Here is a 15654-nt window from a genome sequence, read left to right as displayed (position 1 = left end):
TTACTTGTTCATATAAATGAAGCTATCAACCAACAGGCTTGTTGGGCCTACACTCATTTGTCAGCTGCAACCTAAGGTTGCTATGGATACAGGAGTTTGACAAAAATCAAGAAAAGCATTCTGTGAGAATCAATTGTAATGTAATCAATAAAATGCAATGTGTATTTTATTATGAATTGTGCACCGCACAGCATTTATATGAGTAACACTTAAAATAAACGTATGCGTGTATATTTATGCATACCTTTTCTATTCTGGAGAATTAGTTGTTTACAGATGTACTGATACATCCCTGCCCCCAATCCAGGCAGCATGGAGACTGAGTTTCTCAAGGAATTGTGTAGAACTAAGTTTCTTTCAGTATGCCTCATTGCTCTTCACCTAAGGTCTTTACCTGATGCAAAATCCCATTTTACTGCTCAAAAGATTTGCCTCATCAGCTCTGCTTTTGCAGCATAAGTGGCTGTCACCAGATGGCATTTGGGTTGGGCTTGACCCAGGGCAATTAGATGTAGAGGAAGATCAGAAATTTCTGGGTCACAATCATATATAAAAAATGAACCTGCTTATGAAACAACTAAAGACTTTCTCTGTTTCTCTAACTGGGTAGCTTTCCTCACAGCAAATAATCTTATCTTTGAAGCAACGGTTCTAAAATTTATATGTGCTTGGTAAGTATTTGGGAAGCTTGTTAAAAGTATAGATTCCTGGGCTATGCCTCCAGAGATCATGATTCTGGATGGGGCATTTTAAATAAATACCCCAAAGTATCTCTGAAGGCGGGAGGTGGTCATGGTTCTCAGTTGGGGAAATGCAGTATTAGGGGACACTCTGCACCTAGAGCTGGTAGATTATCTAAGCTTCCCGCTGCCTTAAGCAGATTCTATGTGGCTCCATCAAGCTGCCCATAAGGAAGTATCTTCCTGCTTCTCTGGCATGAGCTTCACCCCTCCTATTCTTTCCTTGAGTCAGTTTTTTTGTTCTCAACGGAAAAAAAGACATATTGGTTATCATAAACTGCCCAATAAAAATATTGCTGAAGTCAAGACAGACTCTATCAATAAGAGAAGCATGGAAGTTTACCAAGACTTTGTTTTACTAAGCTAACTCTCCAGCATCTTTCCTTAGTGCTCTCAAACCATCTGCTAAATTGGCTTAGGACTTTGCCAGAGATGGACACCAAGCTCACAAGCCTTGAGTTTCTAGGGTCCACATACCCTCCACTGTTGAGAACTGGGCCAGCTCCCCAACTTTATCTGCTGGCATTGCTCCTGCCTCTGTTGGATGTTTTCTGGCATCTGTTATCATTACTCCCTCTCCCTAGGCAGAGAGATATCTTCCTTCCTGATTCAAACATAAATTAACATACATTTTTGACTATTCTCTAGATGTTTCCAAAACACCAATTCTTTCTGGGTATCAGCACTCCTGAAAATATCTTCACAGAATATGCCTCCTTAAAGTTCCTAGGTGTAGTGCATGGACCCTTCATTTGTGTGCTCATAACCCTTTACATTTGTGCTCATCAGTATTAGTTTCCAAGTTAACGCAGTCTCCCCTTCTTCTCCACTTGTAAGAATTAGAATGTGAGAATCTAAAATATCTTCCTTGTTTTTTAATCCTCTTAAGCTACTCGGAATCTTGCTACTTAAAACTATACCTAGTTTTATTCATTCAAAATTTTCTCCGTATTATAGAACACAACAACAGTTATATTCAACTAAATCAAGTCAAATATCAAGTAAAATGTAATAAAGAACCACCCTCTTTAAACCAGGTACCAGAGTTACTGCTCTTTGCAGTGGGAATGAGGGGCAGCTTCAGTTTCACTTCTTAAGTCCACCTGTAGGTGGCCCCAAGACAATGTTGCAGAATCTTAGGGCTCAGTAAAACAGTTTTAAAACCACTGTGCAGCTTCACTTACCTCAGTTTGGGATTGGTTGCTATGGTTTGAATGTCTCCTCCAAAACTCATGTTGAAACTTAATCACCAATCTGGTAGTATTGAGAGGTGGGGGCCTTTAAAAGAGGTGATTGGATGATATGGGCTCTGTCTTCATGAATGAATTTGTTATTTATGGATTAATGGGCTAATGGATTAATAGGTTATCATGGGAGGGGAAGTGATTGCTTTATAAGAAGAAGAGAGGCCTGAGCTAACACATTAGCATGCTCAGCCCCCTTGCCCTGTGATACCCTGCCTCGACCCAGGGCAATTAGATGTAGAAGAAGATCAGAAATTTCTGGGTCCTTACACCACCTTGGGACTCTTCAGAAAGTTCCCACTGGCAAGAAGATTCTCATCATATGTGACCTCTCAACCTTGGACTTTCCAGCCTCTATAACTGTAAAAAATAAATTCCTTTTCTTTAGAAATTACTCAGTTTCAGATATTTTGTTATAAGCAACAGAAAACAGACTGGCACACTTCATTTTCTCTGCCATCTACATTACATGGAGCATTCCTAGCTTTTAAGATGTCTACAGCATCATTAGCACTGTGCCTTTCTCAGCAATCTATGCATGCCACTGTGATAGAATTGTTCAACTTAAAATATTCTAGGCATGAATTCCAACAAGTTGATGATAAAGGTCTCCAACAGGAGCATTTGCTTTCACAGTGAAAATTCAGATCCTACATGCATGCTGAGGGAAAGAGCATTAAGTTTCAACTAGGCATACACTAATCCTGAAGAACTATTCATTGAGTCATATTGCCCACATGCCTAACATAATACACTTTATAATAAAAACACAATTACTTTACTGCTGAAAAAGTGCCCTTTTCTTCACATTTGAGAAAATGCTTCAAATTCATAAGACAAAAAAAAATGGATGTAATCTTCTCTTGTTCCTATTCCCCCATTCTCTTTTTTCTGTTTAGATTTTGTTAAGTCGACTTTTGAACTTAATAGGACAACAGGGAAAGTAAGACATGAGCACTTGCTGAAAAGCAACAATGCAATGTTCAGTAACACACAGCACATAATGAATTCACATTTTGCAGATTACACTAATATTTTTCAGATTTTGGAAATGTAATTTTATGCCATAACTTGATGACAATGACCAGAATTCAGCCAGAAATCTATCTCGATGGGTCATTCATTATTCTTTCATTTATTCAAACGTTTATCAAATCCTCACTATGTTTCAGTCATGGAGTTAGATGAAGAGAATAAAAAGATAAATAATACACAGTCCTTTCCCTCAGTGAGTTCCAATCTGATCTAATGAAGGAGGCAGACACATGGCAGATAATGTTTGTTTGTTTGTTTGTTTGTTTTTTGTTTTTTGAGATAGAGTCTCGTACTGTCACCTGGGCTGGAGTGCAGTGGCGCGATCTCGGCTCACTGCAACCTCCACTTCCCAGGTTCAAGCAATTCTCCTTCCTCAGCCTCCCGAGTAGCTGGGATTACAGGCGCCTGCCACCACACCCAGCTATTTTTTTTTTTTTCGTATTTTTAGTAGAGATGAGGTTTCGCTATGTTGGCCAGGCTGGTCTCGAACACCTGACCTCGTGATCCACCCGCCTTGGCTTCCCAAATTGCTGGGATTATAGGCATGTGCCACTGTGCCTGGCTGGCAGATAATGTTTTAAGTATAGGTACAGTGCTAAGGAAAATGCAAAAGAGCACAGGGAGTTTAGGTGACCCCAAAACTGATGCTTAAAAGAATGATGAGGGAGAATCCACCAGGAGGGGGAAGGCAGAGGGGAAAGACAATCATTTTAGGCTGAGGGGACAGCTTAAGAATGGAGGCAGGAAACTGTGGGGCACACCCTGCAGTTAGTCTAACGCAAGGGGTGCACCTTATTCCACCAGATTCATTCCACCTTATTCCACCATATTCTCACGTGTCATGCTAAAGAGCTTAGACTTGATCCCATAGTTGAATGGGCCCACTGAAGAGTTTCACATAGGAAAACAGCAGGGTCACATCTGCTTTTTAGAAAGACCACTCTGGCTTCCATTGAGGCTGGATTTGGGTGGTTAAAAACTGAGGCAGGAAGCACATTAAGAGGTGCAATAAGACAGAAGAGAGGTCTGATGGCTGGAAATAAGGTGATCATAGGGACAGAGATAGAAGACAGATCTGAGAAATTATTACGAGATAAAACTGGCGGGAACTGGTGACTGTTGGATATGGGAAAGTGAGGATGTGGTGATGGTAAAAGAAGTTTCTAGTATAACTCCAAATTTCCAACCTGAGTGACTGAGGGTGGGACTGGTGTCACCCATGAAGATAAAACATACAGAAATCAGTCTGGGGGTGGGGGATGGTGTATTCACTCACTTAATATTTGGACACCAGAAATTGGCTCAAACATAATAGTGAACAAGACAGATAAATAGAGCTTACATTCTAGTTGGGGGTGAGGCGCAAACAATAAACAAGTAACAAATATTATATAGATTCAGACACATATGATCTGAAGAGAAATAAAGCCAGGGAAGGAAAAGGCACATATGGGGACTTTTGGGGAAGGTGCTGACTGAACAGAGAGGATAAATGAAGTGAGCAGTGAGCCACGCGGGGCCTGTGAGAAAAACATTTCAGGTGGAGGAACAGCAGCAAGTGGAAAGGCCAGAATGAACTTGGGTTGTGGACACATTGATTTAGAGGCTCCTTCATCTATGCAAATGGAGATGTCCAGGAGGTGGCTAGATATACAGGTCTGAACTTCAGCAGTCTGGGCTGGAATATGAATCTTGAATTATCAGTATATTGAAGGCTGGTATGTTCTAGGATTGGAGAGGACAACTTGGGAAAAATGCATAAGTGACAGAAGAAATGGGTCACAGTAATATAAAAAATGCCAACATTTAAGGGGCAAGTAGAAGAAAAGAAACCCATGAAAGAAAATAGAATGGGATTTGGTGTTGCAAATTCAAGAGAACAGGAAGCAGTAATCACTGTTTCAAACACAGCAGGATTCCAACCACTGAAATGTGTCCACTGGGATTAGCAATTAGCAGGTCATTGATGGCTGTAGTTACAGCAGCCTCAGAGAAGTGGTGGGTGTGGGAATTGGACTAAGGTGGTTTGGAGAAGGTGGGGGAGGAAATCTATTTTATGAGCAGTGTGGCTGTGAAGAGGAAGACACCATTTGGAGAGGGGAGAGGTAGTAGAGAGAATAACTACACTGGCAAAGTTCATAGCTGGCTAGTCAGGGAGAATCTGCTGGAGCAGGGCTGGTGGACAAGGAGCACACCCAGAACTGGCTCAGAGGCCCTGCACACTCTGCTAGCTGGCTCTGTGCAGTCTTGGTGTGCAAGAACTAATTCCAACCAACAACCCAAACTTTACAAGGCCAGGATGGAGATACTAGATCACCTAGCATTCCTCACTCCAGTGGGTTGTGGCTTCCAGGAAGCTCTCCCAAAATCTGTGTGAAGAATCAGGTGTGATGGAAAACATTGTAACCAAAACTTCAAATAATGCTTGTTGACTGAGGAACGTGGCCATGAGGAAGAGGTTGGGGACCCACTGCTAGGTTTTCTGAGCAGATGGCCTTATGTGTGGCTGCTGCATCCTGTAAGGGAAAACTCCTCATTCTTCCATCTATACTATACAGCATCAGTTCCAAAAGTTCAAGCTGAGGTCCATTTCTATGCATCAGGTTGGGTGAGAAGTGAAGAAAAGGAAGACCTGCATAGTGATGAAGAGAAGGGCCCAGCTGTATAGGAAGAAACTAACTAAATAAACTAACATCATTAAAACATGAACTTGGCCAGGCACAGTGGCTCATGCCTATAATCCCAACACTTCCTGAGGCTGAGGTGGGTGGATCACGTGAGGTCAGGAGTTTGAGACCAGCCTGGCCAACATGGCGAAACCCCATCTCTACTGAAAATACAAAAAATTAGCTGGGCATGGTGGTGCACACCTGTAATCCCAGCTACTCGGGAGGCTGAGGCAGGAGAATCGCTTGAACCCGGAGGCAGAGGTTGCAGTGAGCCAAGATCGTGCCACTGCACTGCAGCCTAGGCAACAGAGTAAGACTCTGTCAAAAAAAAAAAAAAAAAAAAGATGAACTTCACACAGATATAAGGAAAGAGTGTAGAATCATGACTGATGTGTATTACAGAAACATGAATTTAGTCAACTAAGCTTGAAATGCCTTAATGAGGGGGCTCCACTGGAAGGAAAAGAAAAGTCAGGCTCTGACTAATCAAAGGCAGTTCTACATAGCACAGCAGGTAATAAACTTGTCACAAGACTTTATCTCAAACAGCATACAAGCCAGAAATAAATATAAACTCTAAACATTTTTTGTTTGTTTTACTTTAAGTTCTGGGATACATGTGCAGAACGTGCAGATTTGTTACATAGGTATACATGTGCCATGGTGGTTTGCTGCACCTATCAACCTGTCATCTAGGTTTTAAGCCCTACATACATTAGGTATTTGTCCTAATGCTCTCCCTCCCCTTGTCCCCCACCCCCTGACAGGCCCTGGTGTGTGATGCTCCCCTCCCTGTGTCCATGTGTTCTCATTGTTCAACTCCCACTTATGAGTGAGAACATGCAGTGTTTGGTTTTCTGTTCCTGTGTTAGTTTGCTGTAAACTCCAAAGATTTTAAAATAAATCCAGTAATAATTTTATTTTATTCAATGAAATTAGGTGCTTTGGAGACCTCTCTAATACTGGAGATTGAGTTTATGTAGGACAAGCTCTTACTTATCACTCACCCCAAAACCTCATTCATACACTTCCCTCAGACTACCATTAGGCCATGTCCTGGCCATGGGACTCACTTAGCAGCAATCTTCAAGTTCTTTTAAGCAACTCTTGTGATATCAGAGGGTAAACACTCCTGATTTTTTCCTAATTGCCTTCAGAAGAAATAAATACTGGGTTCTCTCTCGCACTTTAACTATGTTCTTCTTAAACTTTGCTCTCTTGGCTACATATAGTTGGGCCATAATTCCTTAACTATGCCCATCAAAATGTAAGGACATTCAGAAGAACCAGTCAAAAAACAAACAAACAAAAAACAAAAACACTAACAAAAGAAAAAAACCTCAGTATAGAATAATGAATGCAATCACTATCAAATTTCAAAATAAGATTTGAAACTCTTTTTTTCATTTCAGGCCCATATTTACAACTACAGGTACTACATACCTTAAATACACATTTCTAAAACCCAATTCAGTCTCTCTTTCTCATTCCCTCTACCTGCTCTTACTTCTGCATTTTATATGACCCAGCTGCCTAAATCAGAAACCTTAGATTTCCTTTATACCACTCTCCTACTGCATTTCATGTTCTATAGATTCTATCATAAGATAGATAACTATTAAGATTAGGATAAAATGTAAATTCTTAACATGACCCACAAGACCCTTATTTACCTCTCTGACTTTAACTGTCATTACATCAACAACCCCCCACTCTAACTTCCAAATTCAACTCCACCAATCCTAACTCATTGAGGGTCCCTAAGGTCACATGCCACTTCAAGCATTTAAACCTTTGCACATGTTGTTTACTAGAAACTCTTCCTCCAAATGCTTTACTGGAACACTCATTCCCATGACACTTCAGAGCTTATTTATTTCTTCTCTGGAGAAGCCTTTCTTGACACCACTTCCTCCAAGTTTGGGATAGGTGCCCCTCCTATGTGCTCCCAGATCAAACCACACTTTCCCTTATTGCACTGAGTTTCAATTGCCTGTTTACTTGTCTGTATCCTCCACGAAAAGGTAATCTCCTTGAGGACAAGGATCATGTCTTTCTTTTTCACAACCCCAGCACCAAGGACAGTGACCAGTCCATGGTAAGTTCCTGTTAAACGTGATGAGTGAATAGCTAGATTGCATTACATTGTCACTTAAGGTATGCAGAAGGAAAAAAAAACACCAATAAAAAGTCTGGAGGATAAAATGAAGTAAGAGGGGATAAGATGAAAAAAGAGGAGAGAAAACAATAATGGATAAGGGCACTAGAAGGTGGGTGGAGGAAAAGAAAAGAGATTAATGGAGGAAGTAAAAGAAAGCAAAAATAAAGAATGGGACAGAAGTCAGTTATGCCGATTTTTGTGAAACATTAAAAAGGCTTCCACTGAGGGGATTAATAATAGAACTAACACTAATTGATCTCTAAACGGCATGCTGTGTCCCAAAGTCATGACCTTACTCACGCCCTCAGTTCCCCTATAAGCATTATTATCCTCATTTTGCAGATAAGAAAATTAAGACACCAAGAAGTTAGGTAATTCTCCCCAGATTATACAACTATTAAGTGGTGAGGCAGTCTTTGAATTCAGTTTACATGGACTGCCCAGGATATGTGCTGCTCTTGTTTATTTAGGAAGTATTTAAATGTAGAACAAAAGCAGATTCAATGGTAAAAGACTCTAAGAGTCCAATTTATACATGAAGCTCTGATTTACCTTCTTACAGCTCAGCTTCTGCATTTTTTCTCTAAATATCTATACCTTATAGTTCATCCAAGACCAAGCACAGGCCAGGTGCGGTGGCTCATGCCTATAATCCCAGCACTTTGGGAGGCCGAGGCGGGCAGATCATGAGGTCAGGAGATTGAGACCCTCCTGGCTAACACGGCGAAACCCCACCTCTACTAAAAATACAAAAAATTAGTCAGGTATGGTGGCACGTGCCTGTAGTCCCAGCTACTTGGGAGGCTGAGGCAGGAGAATGGCATGAACCCAGGAGGTGGAGCTTGCAGTGAGCGGAGATAGTGCCACTGCACTCCAACCTGGGTGACAGAGCAAGACTCCATCTCAAAAAACAAAACAAAACAAAACAAAAAAACAAGCAGAATATTCTGAAGTCAGCAGTAGTTAAAATTCTATGTAGGACTGAAATCAGGGGCATCCATTTCTCCCTTGCCCCTCCAGGGAAATGCATGACTGGCGGGCCTGGGCCAGGGACCTGGGACACATCTTGGTACAATGGATTGCTCTTGCTACAGACCCAACAGGATATAGGAGTGTTGCTTTTGAAGCAAATAGCAATCCATTGTACACAGTCCAGCACTGGGCTGTGCATGTTCTAGCAATAACCCTAAAAATGTTAACTTCTGGGAGTGCAGAGTTTGTAGCAGATATGGTCCTCAGGTTAGGCACCTATCAGGATGAAAGAAAAATGCTACCTAAATTGACATCAAAAGTGGGCTTGGAGCCAAAATATATATTATATTATTTTATATTGAAAAAATGTGTTCTCCATCTTTTCCCAAACTTCTATAACAATAAAATAGCTTTGTCATGACAGTTAACATTCGCAGATGTGAGAAAAGAAAGGCTACTTCACCAGCCAAATAATAGTGACTATTATGCTTCAGATTCCTTTATTTATATAAGTCTTCCCTCTCCAAGCAGAAGCACAGTTCTTAGAGGCAGAGCCCTTTGCAGTCTTCCTTCGTCTTTCTCACTTTTACATTTATTAGGCTTTGCAGTTACCTGCAAAAACTCTCCACACCTGATGACACTCTCTCCACATTATGTGTGTGTGTGTGTGTGTGTGTGTGTGTGTGTGTGTGTGTCTGTGTCTTGTGCATCTAAACATCAAAGTCAGTATCCTCTCATGGAAGCAGCTTTTCACAAGAAATTAATTTTAACTAATTCAATTCATCATCTAACAGTGGTTACCAAGGATACCAAATAGCCAAAGGCCACTTGGCTCCAACTTGCCTGTTAAATCAGAAGATATTAACAGAAAGCTGTGAAGAATTATTGTTGTCTAAGTAATATGGCTAGAAACCAGGCCCCCTTTCAATGTCCTGAAGTCCTGAACTCAGTTCAAGATACTCATCTATAATAACCACTAAAAACATGCAATTTTTTTTCTAGAATTTGAAATTCACTGATTAGCATTTAGAAAAATGACCACTAATGGGTTTGCTTTAATTCACTTCCTGATGAAGCACTGAACTGAGAATGGCTACTGATTTGATCTTCTTATCGATCTGAAAGCAAACGATTCTCACTGTGGCAGTTAATTGAGTATTCAGGTAATCTAGCTGAATCTGTCCTAAATCAAACAGCCTATAACAGCGTTTATGAGCTGCATTTAACAGATGAGCCTAAAATGTGCCCTTGAGGGGAGAGAATTAAAATAATAATGCCCCATACAAAAAAATGTACCTTCTTGCTAAAAGGTCAACATGGTTTAAAATATATATTTATATAATAAGAATAAACATTGTCAATATGGTATTATTGTACATTTAAGGAGTTACCAAAGAATTGATACACTCTCTCCAAAAGGCACAGACAGTCAAATGTCTTACTAATTAATGTATTTCAGCAGTACACTTTAAGAATGTTAATTCTCTATCATTCATTGTTATTATTTTGTCCCATTTTTGGTTTGTCTTGCTGATAATGAACTTTGCAAAATAAAAATGTTCCTGCTGTTGTGCTTCTCAGAATCTGTCAACCTTGTCTTTTATGGTTTTTGGCTTTAGGGTCACGCTAAGGAAGGCTTCACCTACTACAAAGATCACAGACACTGGTAGTTGCCACCCCATATCTGTTTTTCCCCTTTTCCAAAATAACAACTTAAATTGCATTTGAAGTGACAATTTATCAAGCTAAAAGACTACATTTCTCAACCTTCTTGTAGCTAGGGATGGCAATATGACTAAATTCTGATCAATGAGATGAAAGCACAAGTATAGAGTGGGACTTCGAGAAAGGTTACTCTAGAAGAGTAGACTCAGGTCGAAAGTGAGGTTTTTGTCTCTCTCAGGGATGTAAATGTAAGTGCTGGAATTCCAGCAGCCATATTAGCCCATGATGTGACTTTGAATTTGAAGTAATGCACTAAAGAAGGCAAACATAGAAAGACAGAAAGAACCTGAATCTTAAGACTACCTAGAGACTCTCAGACCTGGGCAGACTACTCCTAGGTCTCTTTACATGAAAGAATTTTAAAAATTTACCTCTGTGTCTAACCTGCTGTTATTGTTTTGCTGTCATCTATACAGTATTCTGATGATAAAATGATTATCACATAATTTCCTTTGGAATTTTAGCAGTTATATTTGTAAAATTTAAACCACATGAAAAATTTCAGGAGCAGGCATATAATGTTTTTTCCCAAATAGTTACTCAATTATCTCAACCCCATTTGCTGAATAGCCCATTTCCCACCCCCCCAACTGATTTGAAATGCTGTCTTTACCAGATACTATATTGCCATGTCACAATAGCACAAAATTGGAAAAAAGCCAAATGTCCATCAGCTGGTAAATGAATAAATAAAATGAAATACATCCATCTAATGGAATACTAATCAGTAATAAAAAGGAAAGAACTAATGACACGTGCTATGATATAGCCAGGCCTCAAAAACATTATGCTAAGTGAAGGAACCCAGTCACAGAAGACATCACATATTGTATGATTCCATTTATATGAAATGTCTAGAACAGACACATTAATAGAGACAGAAAGTAGATTAGTAGTCTCCTGAGGCAGGGATTAACAGAGAATGGATATGAGGAAACTTCCTGGAATGTTGAAAAGGTTCTAAAACTGATTTATAGTGATGCTTGCACAACTTCATACATTTACTAAAAAATAATTCCATTGTACACTTTCAGAGTGAACTCTACAATATGTAAAACACGTCTCGATAAAGTTATATTTTTAAAACCAGAGAATGACTGGAGATAGAGAAAAATGTGTCAAGTTTGTGACTTATGTTGCATACATCGTCAAAAGTTAAAATAATTATATATATAAAACAACAACCAAAAAACCTATTACTGTAATACTAGGCTTCCTAGTGCTTTACCATTCCTGTAGTCTTAAACCCCTACCAGGTTACAGTACATCAGTATTTTTAATACAAAGCTGTATTTGTTTTCTATTATTTACAATATATTTATATGCTTAACTGAGATTGGTATCAAGATTTTTTTACTATTGTCTTTGTCAGATTTGATATTAGTGTGATACTAGCCTCACAAAGTAAATTAGGATGCCTTCCATATTTTTTCTATGCCACAGTATAGTTTTTACAGTATATGAATTGTTAAACCTTTCTAGAGGACAATTTGATAATTTTATATCAAAATATTTAACGTGCATAAGCCTAGCAATTCCACTTCTGGTAAAAGTATTAACAGTAATTGTTAATGGAAGTGCTGATGACCTTTAATTCTTGTGCTCACTGAAAACTTTTGTTGCAATGACAACTTAAAACAAATTTGTAATGACTATTTGTGGTTCCGACAAATAAGAGGGCTGATGTAGTACTTAATATTTTGTTAAACTTAACCTATAAAAATATTTAGGCCTATACCTTTTTACACAGAAAGTTCTTTGACTACCTTTCAATTTCTTCTAAATATTTTTATACTCACTCTGAGATGTTTATGACTTCCACTCAATTTGTATTTCTACATCATTGGCATGTATGCCATTTTCTTGTGCTTTCTATTGTCTTCTGTATCTGTTATTAAATCCTCTTTCTTATTCTTTTTGCTTTATATTTGTGTTTTCTCATTTTTTCCTTGATCAGAATAGCACAATATTTATTTATTTTTTATTTCAGAAAGACACACCTGGGTTTTATTTATTAACACTGCTTCTTTGGGATTTTTCACTTTCTAATTCAGTAATTTCTTCTTTTGGTTTTATTGATGCTTTGCTCTTATTTTTTTTTCTCTTTTGATTTGCTTTACCTTTCTATTTTTAGGCTCTTAACTTCAATGCATTTTTTTTTCTATTGCTGTATTTATTTGCTATTAACAACTGAGAATTAGAAATTGTCATCTAGATATAGCTTTGGTTATACTCCATTGTATTCTCAATGTCTATAATTTCAGTGTCCATTTCTGATTTTTTTTAACTCAAGAGATCTCTGAAAGAGTTCAATTTTTAAGTGTTTAGAGTTTTGGCATTGTTATTGTTACTTCTTAATCTCTCACTGATTATTTTATGGTCAGTAAATGTGGCCCATGCGATTTTTACCTGTTGGATTTAACTTTTCCTTTTTATTGTCATGTCTAAAAAATTAATCATGTGCTGATTAATTTTTTAAATGTTTCGTGAACATGATTTTTCTTTATTATTTTAACTCTATAACTTCTATCCTCTATGTATTTAGTCTAGTTGATGTATTCTATCAGTGAAGTATTGTAGTCTCCAACATAATTCTAATTTTTCTAATTTATAAAGTTATAACAAACTTGGTTTTATATATTCACATATTGCTTCATTAATGAAAAGTAAAAGTTTATGACTTCTAAGTCTTTACAGTTTATTGTACTATTTATGAACCTAAAATAAGTCTCACTTAATGATATATATTGTATTCAGTATGTTTTTTATAGGAATGTTAATTTAATTAGCATGAGGTTTTGGAAAAAGAGAAGATTAAAAACTATATAAATCAGTAGACAAATGTTTTACTATATTTAATGAAACTACTTCCTAAACATTTAAGGAATCAAGTACTACAAAGCTAACTCTGATCCTCTTCTGACAATCCCCCATGTTCTGATTGCATCATTAAGGCCACTATTTACTACTCACTTTTCTCCAGGAGTTTCCCTGGGTCAAATCTGATGATTGTCTGTAGCACTATGGGACACCACTGCAAACCCTAAGACATCACATTTTACAACAAAGGCATATGAAGTAGAGCTCCTGTTTTGTTACTCTGCCCAATTTAACTTCCCAGTTTCCACATACTGAGGCACTGGGAAGGCAGATGTGATTGAATTACTGAAGCATAAGATAATACAAAAATTAAAAGATAAAAAAAGAAGACAATGCAATCGAAAAGAGCTGCAGTTTTAATCTTTATCAGCGTGCAGAGTGGATCCTCTCTAACTGAACCTGTGGGGATTAGATTTTCCCCCAGAGCAGCCTACAGTAATCCACACATAAATGGCCTCTAAAGCAGTGTGGAGTTAGAATCAATGAATGTTCCTACCAAAGGCATCTGGAAGAAAAAAAAGAAACACTTTGGGGGACTTTCTAGTTCTCTTTGTAGATTCCCTCTGAAATAGATTCCATAAGATGATGAATCTGAGTTCCCTCAAAATTAAAGTAATACACACAAAGTACTTTAAAAGCCCCAGAAGAAGGATGACCTATAAATTCGGGATATTACAGTTATATTAAATCTAAAGTAGCAGTCACGGTGGAACAGATTAAAGAAGAGCAAGCAGCACTGTTTTCTCATTCCCTCTGAAATAATTTGGGAAGCCTTCAGAGCTAGCTCAGCTATGCCAACAATTGACATCCATATTATCTAAAAAAATAAGAATGGAAATATGTTTAACTTGGGATCCTCTGAATCCCAAGTTAAAAGTGATTCTAATGTGGCCTCCTCATTCTTGTCCAGCTTCTTTCTCTGTTTCACAGGTTTTTCTGACAAGAAGTGAGCATATTGGCTAGGATGATTTATAGCCTACAGGAATCAAGCAACCATGTTATTCTCTAACCTCATGGCCTAGTTAGAGTTTTCACAGGGTTTATGTACCGTATGGTTATCCTAAAATAAGAACAAATGATAATCATATTACTTGCCTAGCGATAAAGAAGACCATGATTTTACTTAGGGCTAGGACACTACAGTTACATCCTACAGCTAAATTTTCTACAGAATTTATTAGTAATTGTGCCAATAGTAGCTGTACTTACAAATAATTTGAGATAATTCACTGTGGCTACAAAAAAAAAAAAAAAGAATCCATGATAGATAGTAAACACATTTTCGAGTTTGGGTTTCCTTGCCTAATATTTTATAAAAGTTTTACATAGACAGTTTGAGCATTTATTTTGACCAAGGGGCTGTAAAAAGTAATTGTAAACCACGAAGGCCGTAAGTGCATGTCATTTGCAACCCTAGCTGTGTAGAGGTATTTTAGGTGTCACCCCTGAAGGCTGACTTAGTCAATCTTGGGACAGGGCAGTTGTGTCTTCAAAAGTTCCTTAACTGATTTTGATGCATACCTGGAACTGGGAACCACTTTACAAAAATCTTTGAGTTGCAAGGGGCCTTGACATTCAATCGCTTTTCACCCTCCTTATTTCCAGTAACTTCTTCCCAGTTTTCCACCAGTCAACTGCCCTGGACATCTGCATGAGATGTCATACACATCCCAAACTTAATGTGTTTAAAATCAATCTCATTATTTTCCCACAAAATGTGCTTGACTTCCTGTGGTAAACCTAATAAGTTATAAGCACATCTTTCCAGGCACATATGCAAAAAAAATTGGGAATCAGGATCTCTCTCTATTTCATATCATTGTACTAATTATTTTATCTCTTAAATATCTCTTAAGGCATCTCTACTGACTTAAAATATTCCTTCAACACTTCTGCTTAAGTAAAAATTAATAGTTTACTGCCTGCTGCTGTTTTCTTTAAAAAACACCCAGCTTTAAATCTCATATTGTCTGAACACACCACTACACCACAACTGCCCATCCTTGTTGCAGACATCTATCATTCCTCAGGTCGCTTCCCCCACATTCCTGGGAGAGCCCAGTTGCTCGCTTACTGTCACTCTCTCCAAAACTACTTTTGTCATAATTCTCAGCAAAGCCAATATCCATGTCGATAACACTTCCAAAACCCTGGGCCTGTAGTTCTTTGAGCTCCTGTCTTCAATCATTTGTCCCCCTCTCCCCATCATGCCTCTCATGATCATGTCC

The 15654-nt window shown here is 38.3% G+C and overlaps 1 protein-coding gene across 10 annotated transcripts in view, besides 1 other annotated feature; it reads right to left on the bottom strand.

Moving 5' to 3' along the window:
* SYT9 (synaptotagmin 9) overlaps positions 1–15654 on the bottom strand; it is a 230266-nt gene that overhangs the window by 188695 nt on the left and 25917 nt on the right. The window lies entirely within an intron of this gene.
* Positions 4812–5313: an enhancer, noted in NCBI's record as "NANOG hESC enhancer chr11:7296267-7296768 (GRCh37/hg19 assembly coordinates)". NCBI's record gives its function as "activates a minimal SCP1, AML or CMV promoter by ChIP-STARR-seq in primed H9 embryonic stem cells {active_cell/tissue: H9 hESC(primed)}" and the evidence as "EXISTENCE:reporter gene assay evidence [ECO:0000049][PMID:30033119]".

This window comes from Homo sapiens, chromosome 11 (assembly GCF_000001405.40).
Source record: "Homo sapiens chromosome 11, GRCh38.p14 Primary Assembly".
Lineage (NCBI taxonomy): Eukaryota > Metazoa > Chordata > Mammalia > Primates > Hominidae > Homo > Homo sapiens.
This window is presented reverse-complemented; position numbering and strand designations above follow the sequence as displayed.